We start from the raw sequence: 12,060 nt of genomic DNA, 5'->3' as shown, positions 1-12,060 counted from the left end.
AGCAAGAGTACCCCGAACTACCGTGGCCGATTCCTACTCCCCAGGATCAAGACTATGCTTCTCATTTAAAAAAAAAAAAAAAGCAAAACAGAGCCAGATGTGGTGGCTCATGCCTGTAATCCCAGCACTTTGGGAGGCCAAGGCGGGTGGATCACTTGAGGTCAGGAGTTCGAGACTAGCCTGGCCAACATGGCAAAACCCTGTCTCTACTAAAAATACAAAAAAATTAGCTGAGCATGGTGGTGCGCACCTGTAATCCCAGCTACTTGGGAGCCTGAGGCAGAAGAATTGCTTGAACCCGGGAGGCGGAGGTTGCAGTAAGCCGAGATCTTGCCATTGCACTCCAGCCTGGGCGACAAAAGCAAAACTCCATCTCATAAAAAACTAAAAATAAAAGTGTAATCTGCTATCAGCGGAGGTTGCAGTGAGCCAAGATTGTGCCACTGCACTCTAGCCTGGATGACAGAGACAGACTCCATCTCAAAAAAAAATAAATAAATAAAAGGGCAAAATCAGATAAGAACTTCCTATCTCACAATCAGAGCAGGCAAATAAAGATCTTTGAGACCAAGCAGACCTGGGTTTTGTTTTTTTAGAAAATTTTTTTTAGAGACAGGGTCTTGCTGTCACCCAGGCTGGAGTGCAGTGGCACGATCACGGCTCATGGCAACCTCAAACTTCTGAGCTCAAGGGATCCTCCCACCTCAGCCACCTGACTAGCTGGACAACAGGCACATGCCAGCACGCCTGGTTAAGTTTTTTTTTTTTTTGAGATGGAGTCTCGCTCTGTCGCCCAGGCTGGAGTACAGTGGCACGATCTCGGCTCACTGCAAGCTCCGCCTCCCGGGTTCACACCATTCTCCTGCCTCAGCCTCCCCAGCAGCTGGGACTACCGGCGCATGCTGCCATGCCCGGCTAATTTTTTGTATTTTTAGTAGAGACGGGGTTTCACCATGTTAGCCAGGATGGTCTCGATCTCCTGACCTTGTGATCCTCCCGCCTCGGCCTCCCGAAGTGCTGGGATTACAGGCGTGAGCCACCGCGCCCAGCTGCCTGGTTAAGTTTTAAAAATTTTTGTAGAGACAGAGTCTTGCTTTGTTGCCCAGGCTGGTCTCAAACTCTTGGCCTCAAGGGATCTTCCTGCCTCAGCCTCCCAAAGTGCTGTAATTACAGGTGTGAGCCCCAGCCACCTGCCCCCGGTTCCAAAGATTGTAAAAGTGGGTTATTTAACTTAGTTCTCACAGTGCCCTCAGGAAGTGCGGTTGACCCTTGAACACACACTCCCCCAAAACTTAACCACCAATAATAGCCCACTGTCGACTGGAAGGCTTACTCATAACATACACAGTCCATTAACACATATTCTGTATTTTATTTGTATCATATATTTTTATGATAAAGTAAGACAGAGAAAACAAGATGTACTTTAAAAAATCATTAGGAAGAGGCCAGGCAAGGTGGCTCATGCCTGTAATCCCAGCACTTTGGGAGGCCAAGTCAGGCAGATCACCTGAGGTCAGGAGTTTGAGACCAGCCTGGCCAACATAGTGAAACCCCATCTCTACTAAAAATACAAAAATTAGCCGGGCATGGTGGTGGGCGCCTGTAATCCCAGCTACTCGGGAGACTGAGGCAGGAGAATCACTTGAACCTAGGAGGCAGAGGTTGCAGTGAGCCAAGATCATACCACTGTACTCCAGCCTGGGGGATGCAGCGAGACTCTGTCTCCAAAAAAAAAAAAAAAAAAATCATTAGGAAGAGAAAATATATTCATCTTTCATTAAGTGGAAGTGGATCATAACGGTCTTCATCTTCATCATCTTCACTCGGAGTAGGCTAGGAAGAGGAGGAGGAGGGGTTGGTCTCGCTGTCTCACAGGTGGCAGAGGTGGAAGTAAATCCAGCTGTAAGTGGACCTGTGCAGTTCAGACCCAGGTTGTTCAAGGATCACCTGTACTGTGATCACCCCCATTTTATTTATTTTATTTTTTGAGACGGAGTTTCACTCTTGTCTCCCAGGCTGGAGTGTAATGGTGCGACCTCGGCTCACCGCAACCTCTGCCTCCTGGGTTCAAGCAATTCTCCAGCCTCAGCCTCCCGAGGAGCTGGGATTACAGGCACCCGCCACCACGCCCAGCTAATTTTGTATTTTTAGTAGAGACAGGGTTTCTCCATGTTGGTCAGGCTGGTCTCGAACTCCCAACCTCAGATGATCTGCCTGCCTTTGCCTCCAATGTGCTGGGATTACAGGCGTGAGCCACCACACCGGCCTTATTTTATTTTTATTTATTGGAAACAGAGTCTCACTCTGTTGCCCAGACTGGAGTGCAGTGGCGCCATCTCGGCTTACTGCAACCTCTCCCTCTCAGGTTCAAGTGATTCTCCTGCCTCAGCCTCCAGAATAGCTGGGATTACAGGTGTGTACCACCATGCCTGGCTAATTTTTGTATTTTTAGTAGAGATGGGGTTTTACCATATTGGCCAGGCTGGTCTTGAACTCTTAGCCTCAAATGATCTGCCCACTTCAGCCTCCCAAAGTGCTGGGAGTACAGGTATGAGCCACCACATCTGGCCCACCCCCATTTTAGAGATGAGGAAGCTAAAACTCAGAGAGATTAAATGACTCGCCCAAGGTCACACTGCTGGTGAGTGCAGACCCTTTCACAAAAACAAAAAAAAAAAAGAAAAAGAAAAGAAAAGAGCTATTGATGCTGGGTTTGGTGGCTCACGCCTGTAATCCCAGCACTTCAGGAGACCAAGGTGAGTGGATCAGTTGAGCTCAGGAGTTAGAGACCAGGCTGGGCAACATGGTAAAACCCTGTCTCTACAAAAAATACAAAAATTTAGGTGGGCACAGTGGCACACACCTGCAGTCCCAGCTACTTGGGACGTTGAGGTGGGAGGATGGCTTGAGCCCAGGAGGTTGAGGCTGCAGTGAGCCAAGATGGCACCACTGCATTCCAGCCTGGACAACATAGTGAGACCCTGTCTTAAAAAAAAAAAAAAAAAAAAAGGCCAGGCACAGTGGCTCACGCCTGTAATCCCAGCACTTCGGGAGGCCGAGGCGGGTGGATCACAAGGTCAGGAGATCGAGACCATCCTGGCTAACATGGTGAAACCCCGTCTCTACTAAAAATACAAAACAATTAACCAGGCGTGGTGGCGGGCGCCTGTAGTCCCAACTACTCGGGAGGCTGAGGCAGGAGAATGCCGTGAACCCGGGAGGCAGAGCTTGCAGTGAGCCAAGATCGCGCCACTGCCCTCCAGGCTAGGCGAGAATGCGAGACTCCGTCTCAAAAAAACAAACAAAAAAGCTATTGGTGATCTAAAGATCTAAAGAAACAACATTCCAGTAGCAATGAGCACTTCCAGTACCCCAGATCCTGGTTTTCAATATCATTCTCTACTAAAAGGAACCAGGGCCCCCTTGGAGACATGGCTGCTTCTAGGACGAAGGGCAGAAATACACAAGATAGGCCTGCAGCATTTTGTGTTGCCACAAAGTTTAAGGAACTGCTTCGAATAAAACGAACAAACAAAAAAACCACTGAAAAACACATTGATGGGGATATGTCAAAGGGCCACAGGAGCCAAATTAAAGAGTGGTAGACGGCCAAAGCTGGAACAATTTGACCGACAAAATACAGTAGTATTGGGTTATAACACAAAGCATAAAATAAACATCCAGGCCAGGTACAGTGGCTCATGCCGGTAATCCCGGTAATCACTGCCTTGGGAGGCCAAGGCAGGCGGATCATCTGAGGTCGGGAGTTCGAGACCAGCCTGACCAACATGGAGAAATCCCATCTCTACTAAAAATACCAAATTAGCCGGGCATGGTGGCACATGCCTGTAATCCCAGCTACTTGGGAGGCTGAGGCAGGAGAATCGCTTGAACCCAGGAGGTGGAGGTTGTGGTGAGCCGAGATCATGCCATTGTACTCCAGCCTGGGCAACAAGGGCAAAACTCCATCTCCAGAGTAAAATAAATAAATAAATAAATATCCAGCATTCCATCCTGATATAATTCAATGACCTAGTAAGTGGGGGAGAGCGAGATAAATCTCCCACGTGGAAGGATTCTAGAAAACTTATGTTTCAGCTGTGGACAAGCTTAAAAAATAATAATAATTTATGTAGGGCCAGATGTAGCGATGCAAATCATAACCCTAGAACTTTGGGAGGCCAAGGCAGGAGGAGTGCTTGAGGCCAGGAGTTCCAGACTAGCCTGAACAACATAGTGAGATCCCAGCTCTACAAAAAAATACAAAAAGTAGCCAGATGTGATCACGTGCACCTGTAGTCCCAGCTACTAGAGAGGCTGAGGTGGAAGGATCTCTTGAGCCTAGGAAGTTGAGGCTGCAGTGAGCCATGATCACACCACTGCACTCCAGCCTGGGCAACACAGCAAGACTCTGTCTCTAAAATTAAAAAAAATTTATGTAGACAGTCTACCCTTAAATAAATAGAGTATAACCTTCCACAACTTAGGTGTGGGCTACGCATAGTGACTTCCTTCCACAGTATTAAAAAAAAAAAAAAAAAAAAAAAAAAAAAAAAGGACTGGGCACGGTGGCTCATGCCTCTAATCCCAGCACTTTGGGAGAACAAGACGGGTGGATCACCTGAGGTCAGGAGTTCAACACCAGCCTGGCCAACATGGTGAAACCCCGTCACTACTGAAAAATACAAAATTAGCTAGGCATGGTGGTGCACACCTGTAATCCCCACGCTGGAGTGTAGTGGCACAATCTTGGCTCACTGCAACCTCCGCCTCCCAGGTTCAAGCAATTCTCATGCGTCAGCCTCCAGAGCAGCTGGGACTACAGGTGTGTACCACCACATCCAGCTAATTTTTATACTTTTTTAGTAGAGATAGGGTTTCACCATGTTGGCCAGGCTGGTCTCGAACTCCTGACCTCAAGTGATCCACCTGCCTCTGTCTCCCAAAGGGCTAGGATTAGAGGCGTAAGCCACAGTGCCCGGCCGGGACCCTGTCTCTTTAAATAAATAAATAATAAATTTGATAGGATGTATCCTTGATATGGTGTGATTAAATTGATACTTTATTACCTTGATCTTGCTGCCAAAAACGTGTATCTTATGAGAAAAACTCCAGATAAATTCCAAAAGAGGGACACTCTTACCAAAATACCTGACCGGCACTCCTCAAAACTGTCAAGATCATCAAAAACTAGGGAAATCTGAGAATCTGTCATAGCCAAGAAGAGCCTAATGAGATAAGAGAACTAAAAGTGAGATGGACTGGCCAGGCGCAGTGGCTCATGCCTGTAATCCCAGCACATTGGGAGGCCGAGCAGGTGGATCACTTGAGGTCAGGAGTTCAAGACCAGCCTGGCCAACATGGCGAAACCCCGTCTCTACTAAAAATACAAAAATTAGCCACGCATGATGGCAGGTGCCTGAAGTCCGAGCTACTTAGGAGGCTGAAACGGGAGGATCACTTGAACCCAGGAGGTGAAGGCTGCAGTAAGCCGAGATCGCGCCACTGCGCTCCAGCCTGGGTGACAGAGCGAGACTCTGTCTCAAAAAAAAAAAAAGTGAGATAGTCTCCTGGGTGGGATCCTGGGAGAGAAAAAAGATACTAGGGCAACACAAAGGAAGACTAAATAAACTCTGACCTTCAGTTAATAGCAAAGTATCAGTATTGGTCCATTAACTGCAACAAATTATCATTATTAATTTGTTACCAATATGTTACTCATTTGTAACTAAAATATGTTACTAATAGAGAATAATGGTAACTCTGTTTTTTTGTTTGTTTTTAACACAGGGTCTGGTGGCTCACGCCTGTAATCCCAGCACTCTGGGAGGCCAAGGCAGGTGAATCACCTGAGGTCAGGAGTTGGAGACCAACCTGGCCAACACAGTGAAAACCCATCTCTATTAAAAATACAAAAATTAGCTGGGTATGGTGGTGGGCGCATGTAATCCCAGCTACTCGGGAGGCTGAGGCAGGAGAATCGCTTGAACCCAGAAGACGCAGATAGGAGTGAGCCAAGATCACACCACTGCACTCCAGCCTGGGCGATAGAGTGAGAGTCGGTCTCAAAAAAAAAAGAAAAAAAAAAAAAAAAAGGACAGGGTCTGGCTATGTTGCCCAGGCTGGTCTGCAACTCCTGGGCTCAGAGATCCTCCCACTTTAGCCTCCCAAGTAGCTGGGATTATAAGTACCTGCCACTGCACCAGGCCTGGTAACTCTCTACTACTACTTTGGAAGTATTTCTGTAAATCTAAAATTTTTCTTTTTTCTTTTTTTTTTTTTTTTTTTTTGAGATAGGGTCACACTCTGTCACCCAGAATAGAGGGCAGTGGTGCAATCACAGCTCACTGTAGCCTTGACCTCCCAGGCTTAACCAATCCTCCCACCTCAGCCTCCCCAGTAGCTGGGAGCACAGGTGTGTGCCACCACACCCAGCAAATTTTTTAAATTTTTACTAGAGATGGGGGTCTTGCTATATTACCTGGGTTGGTCTCAAACTCCCGGCCTCAAGAGATCCTGCTGCCTCAGCCTCCCAAAGTGCTGGGATTACAGGTGTGAACCACTGTGCTGGGTCTAAATTTTTCTAAAAAATAAGGTCTTTTTTTTTTTGAGACAGAGTCTCACTCTGTTGCCCATCACCCCAATCTCAGTTTAAAACGTTTCCTTTTCCCTTTTTTTTTTTTTTTTGATATGGAGTTTGGCTTTTGTTGCCCAGGTTGGAGTGCAGTGGCGTGATCTCGTTTCACTGCAACCTCCACCTCCCAGGTTCAAGCGATTCTCCTGCCTTAGCCTCCCGAGTAGCTGGGATTACAGGCGCCCACTACCATGCCTGGCTAATTTTTCTATTTTTAGTAGAGATGGGGTTTCTCTATGTTGGCTAGGCTTGTCTTGAACTGCTGACCTCGTGATCTGCCCGCCTCGGCTTCCCAAAGTGCTGGGATTATAAGCGTGAGCCACCACACCTGGCCTATTTCTAGGATTTCACAGGAGGATGTCCATAAAGCATTTGCCATGAAGGACCCACTTAATTCAGAGGACTTGTCAACACTATACCAACCCTATGCTGTCCACTATAGGAGCGACTAGCCCTATATGGTTATTTAAATTTGAATTAATTAAAAACTTACGCTCAGTTTTTTTTTTTTTTTTTGACATGGGGTTTTGCTCTGTTGCCCAGGCTGAAATGTTGTGGCATGATCACAACTCAATGCAGTCTCGAACTCCTGGGCTTGAGGAATCCTCTCAACTCAGCCTTTCAAGCAGCTGAGACTAAAGGCCCACACCATATCACCTGGCTTATTTTTTTATTTTTGGTAGAGATGGGGGCTTGCTATGTTGCCCAGGCTGGTCTTGAACTCCTGGCCTCAAGTTATCCTCCCACTTTGGCTTCCCAAAGTGCTGGAGATTACAGGCATGAGCCACCGTTGTCTGGCCAGAAAGTCAGTTCTTTAATGGTACCAACCATGTGCCAAGTGCAAAAAAAAAAAAAAAACCCTACAAAACACACATGGAGGCCAGGTGCAACAGCTCATGCCTGTAAGCCCAGCACTTTGGGAGGCCGAGGTTGGTGGATCACCTGAAGTTGGGAGTTCAATACTGACCTGGTCAACATGATGAAATCCTGTTTCCACTAAAAATACAAAAAAATTAGCCAGGTGTGGTAGCAGGCGGTCCCAGCTACTTGGGAGGCTGAGGCACAAGAATCACTTGAACCCAGGAGGCGGAGGTTGCAGTGAGCCGAGATCAAACCACTGCACTCCAGCCTGGGCGACAGTGCAATATTTCATCTCAAAATAATAATAATAATAATAATAATAATAATAATAATAATAATAATAATAAATAAAAATATAAATATAGGTCGGACGCTGCAGCTCACGCCTGTAATCCCAGCACTTTGGGAGGCCAAGGCAGGCAGATCACGAGGTCAGGAGATAGAGACCATCTTGGCTAACACAGTGAAACCCCGTCTCTACTAAAAATACATGAAAAAATTAGCCGGGTGTGGTGGTGGGCGCCTGTATTCCCAGCTACTCGGGAGGCTGAGGCAGGAGAATGGCGTGAACCAGGGAGATGGAGCTCGCAGTGAGCCGAGATCACACCACTGCACTCCAGCCTGGACGACAGAACAAGACTCCATCTCAAAACAAAACAAAACAAAGCAAAAAATATATATATAAACATTAGCCAGGCGTGGTGGTGCATGCCTGTAGTTCCAGCTACTCAGGAGGCTGAGGCAGAAGAATCGCTTAAACCCAGGAGGCAGAGGTTGCTGTGAGCTAAGATCACACCACTGCACTCCAGCCTTGGCAAAAGAGTGAGACTCTGTCTTAAAAAAAAAAACAAACAGAAAAAAACAAAGAGAGAAAACCCCATGGAGCCAGGGGCTACTGAATTGGACGGTGCTGATATGGAACATGCCCATTATCGTGGGAAGCTCTTCTGGACAGCACTGCGGCAGACAATGAAGAATGTAACTATTTGTTCAGTGCTCTCACCTCTTTTGGGTCCCTCTGCGAATGACAGCTCTTCAGCCTTCCCAACCATCCTCTTTCAAACAGCAACCCCCACATTCCCCATGCTCTTTCCCCAATTTACTTTTCTTCTTAGCCTGTTCACCACTTGACATGGAAATCACTTGGTTTCTCTTCTGACTCCCCATCTAGCACTGCACAGTCTGATGCAGTAGCCACTGGTAACGCGTGATGGTTGAGCCCTTGAAATGTAGCCAGTCCGACTGGAGATGTGCGGTGCTGTGCTGTGCTGTGGAGTATAAGATACATACTAGATTTCAAAAGCAGGCAGGGGCCAGGCGCGGTGGCTCACGCCTGTAATCCCAGCACTATGGGAGGCCAGGGCGGGTGGATCACTTAAGGTAAGGAGTTCGAGGCCAGCCTGGGCAACATGGTGAAACTCTGTCTCTACTAAAAACACAAAAAATTACCCGGGCATGGTGGCAAATGTCTGTAATCGCAGCTACTCGGGAGGCTGAGGCAGGAGAATCGCTTGAACCCGGGATGGGGAGGTTGCAGTTAGCCGAGATCCCGCCACTGCACTCCAGCCTTGGCAACAGAGTGAGACTCTGTCTCAAAAAAATAAGAAAAAAAAAGCATGCAGGAAAGAAAAAGGACACAAAGTATCTTCTATTTTGGAAAGATAACAGATGCAAAACATCCTGTATTTTAAAATATTGACTACATGTTTAAATAATAACATATTCAACCTACTGAGTTAAATAAAACACATTACAACTAACATCACCCGTTTCTTTTTACTTATTTTTAAACATGGCTAACAATGTACCAATTTAAATTACATACCTCGCTGACAAATCTGTGGCTTGCTTATACTGTTTTTTTGAGATGTAATTTCCCTCTTTCACCTAGGCTGGAGTGCAGTGGCGGGATCTCGGCTCACTGCAACCTCCACTTTCCAGTTTCAAGCGATTCTCCTGCCTCAGCCTCCCGAGTAGCTGGGATTACAGGCTCCTGCCACCACGTCCAGCTAATTTTTGTATTTTTAGTAGAGACTGGGGTTTCAACATGTTGGCCAGGCTGGTCTCGAACTACTGACCTGGTGATCTGCCCGCCTCGGCCTCCCAAAGTGCTGGGATTACAGGCGTGACCTACTGTGCCTGGCCTGCTTTGTTTATACTTCTATTGCACCGTGATGACCCAGAATGCTGGCTACTATAAAATTTAACAATTAAATGTTAAATTTAACATTTAATTGAGCTAGGTGTGGTGGCACGTGCCTATAATCCCAGCTACTTGGGAGCCTGAGGCAGAAGGACTGCTTGAGGTCAGGAGTTAAACCTGTGGGATGATTGCACCTGTGAACAGCCACTGCACTCCAGCCTGGGCAACACAGTGAGACCCAATCTCTAAAAAGCTTTCCTAGGCCGGGTGGTGGCTCATGCCTGTAATCCCAGCACTTTGGGAGGCCGAGGTGGGTGGATCACTTGAGGCCAGGAGTTTGAGACCAGCCTGGCCAACATGGCAAAACCCCATCTCTACTAAAACCACAAGAATTAGCTGGGTGTGATGTTGCACGCCTGTGATCCCAGCTACTTGGGAGGCTGAGGCACGAGAATCACTTGAATAGGGAGGCAGAGGTTGCAGTGAGCTGAGATCACACCACTGCATTCCAGCCTGCACAGCAGAGTGAGACCCTGTCTCCAAAAAAAAAAAAAAAAAAAAAAAAAACTTCTAAGAAAATATGATTAAAAAAAGAAACAGGCTGGGCACCGTGGCTCCCGCCTGTAATCCCAACACTTTGGGAGGCCAAAGCAGGAGGATCACTTAAGTCTAGAAGTTTGAGACCAGCCTAGGCAATACAGCAAGACCTCATCGCTACAAAAAAATAAAACATTAGCCAGGCATAGTGGCACATCCTGTAGTCTAAGCTACTCAGGAATCTGAAGCCGGAGGATTGATTGCCTGAGCTGGGGAAGTTGAGGCTGCAGTTAGCTGTGATCATACCACCGCACTCCAAATTGGGTGACAGAGTGAGATCCTGTCTCAAAAAAAAAAAAAAAAAAAGAAAAACAAAATTGTAGGCCAGGCGCAGTGGCTCAAGCCTGTAATCCCAGCACTTTGGGAGGCTGAGGCGGGCAGATCACGAGGTCAAGAGATACAGATCATCATGGCCAACACGGTGAAACCCCGTCTCTACTAAAAATACAAAAATTAGCTGGTTGTGGTGGCGCAGCGCCTGTAGGCCCAACTACTTAGGAGGCTGAGGCAGGAGAATCGCTTGAACCTGGGAAGCGGAGGTTGCAGTGAGCGGAGATCACGCCACTGCACTCCAGCCTGGCGACAGAGCGAGTCTCCGTCTCAAATAAATAAATAAATAAATAAAAATAAAAAGACTATTATTTTCAGATCATAAAAAAAAAAAAGAAAAAATTAGGCAGAGTGCAGGCATGCCTGTAATCCCAGCTCTTTGGGAGGCGGAGGCAGGAGAATCGCTTGAGTCCAGGAGTTCGAGACCAGCCTGGGCAACAGAACCAGAGCCCATCTTTACATAAAAAAAAATTAAACATGTAGCTTGCATGTATTTCTACTAGGGCATTCTAGGCCAGCGCTGGTTTAGAATGTTAGCCCAATAAGACCAGGTATTTTTTTTCTGCTCACTGCCCATACAGTGATTGACACACAGTAGGCGCTCAATGACATTTTAATGAATGAATGAGATGCTGAGCCTTCGGGAACTGGCTTGCTCAAAGAGCCAGCACCGATGAAGCGCTGACCACGTTCCATGCCCCGCCTCCTCAGCGCACCAGAGAAGGAAACTGAGGCCCGGCAAGGTGACGTCAGCTCCTGCCCAACGGCACGTAGTGCGGAAACGTCGGGGCCGGGATTCGAACCCAGGTTCTGTACCCGTAACCCCGGCGCGCTGACCTTTCCTACCTTACCGGGCGGCGGCAGGACAGACAGGTGCGGGACACACGGCGAGCGCTCAACCAGAGGCGCCGCTCCTCAGCCACCGCCTTCCGTCAGCCTCCGAGGGCCGGAACCCAGTTCGCCCCCTCCGCGGCCATCGCTGGCTGCCCGCGTCTCCGCCGGCCGCGGAGCACTTCGCAGGCGGCGCCGACCGGAAGTCCCGCCTCTCCCGCGCGCCCCGGAGCGCCGCGACAGCTACGCCGGCCAATGAGCAGCGCGCCGTGGCGGACGTCGGCCAATGGGCTCGCGCGCGGGGGGGGCGTGTCCGGGCCGCGGGCCGGAGCGGGTCGTGCGCGCTGAGGAGGAGCCGCTGCCGCCGTCGCCGTCGCCGCCACCGCCGCCACCGCTACCGAGGCCGAGCGGAGCCGTTAGCGCCGCGCCGCCGCCGCCTCCCGCCCGCCCCGGAGCAGCCCCGGGCCCGCCCGCCCGCATCCAGGTGAGGCGGTGGGGGGCCTTCGGCGGCGCCCGACGGGGTAGGCCGCGGCAGGCCTGAGCTCGCCTGGCCTGGCCGCGGGGCGCCCGCGGGCCTGCACCGGCCGAGGCCCAGGCCGCGCCGGACCGGGGGAGGGGACGCGCGCTGGGGCCGCGGCGGGCGGGTCGGGGCGGGCCGGTG

The 12,060-nt window shown here is 49.1% G+C and overlaps 1 protein-coding gene and 1 long non-coding RNA gene across 9 annotated transcripts in view, besides 1 other annotated feature; one reads left to right on the top strand and one right to left on the bottom strand.

Moving 5' to 3' along the window:
- Positions 1-1,352: 1,352 nt before the first annotated feature.
- Positions 1,353-11,565, bottom strand: LOC105372266 (uncharacterized). 8 transcript variants are annotated; one of them, XR_007067126.1, is made up of 4 exons: positions 11,415-11,565; positions 8,948-9,085; positions 8,502-8,766; positions 1,353-1,915 (listed from the first exon to the last, which is right to left on the bottom strand). It is a non-coding gene; the product is annotated as an uncharacterized LOC105372266 (long non-coding RNA). The 8 variants fall into 8 exon arrangements; XR_936301.2 differs by having other exon boundaries at positions 11,420-11,565; XR_936302.2 differs by having other exon boundaries at positions 1,353-1,836; positions 11,420-11,565.
- Positions 11,362-11,851: a silencer, noted in NCBI's record as "silent region_10008". NCBI's record gives its function as "represses an Ori minimal core promoter by ATAC-STARR-seq in GM12878 lymphoblastoid cells {active_cell/tissue: GM12878}" and the evidence as "EXISTENCE:reporter gene assay evidence [ECO:0000049][PMID:35858748]".
- ELAVL1 (ELAV like RNA binding protein 1) overlaps positions 11,737-12,060 on the top strand; it is a 47,069-nt gene continuing 46,745 nt past the window's right edge. The window contains exon 1 of the mRNA NM_001419.3: positions 11,737-11,883. The gene's annotated coding sequence lies outside the window, so the exon portion shown is untranslated. The remainder of the gene's footprint in view (positions 11,884-12,060) is intronic.

The sequence above is a fragment of the Homo sapiens genome, chromosome 19 (genome assembly GCF_000001405.40).
Source record: "Homo sapiens chromosome 19, GRCh38.p14 Primary Assembly".
Taxonomy (NCBI): Eukaryota; Metazoa; Chordata; class Mammalia; order Primates; family Hominidae; genus Homo; species Homo sapiens.
This window is presented reverse-complemented; position numbering and strand designations above follow the sequence as displayed.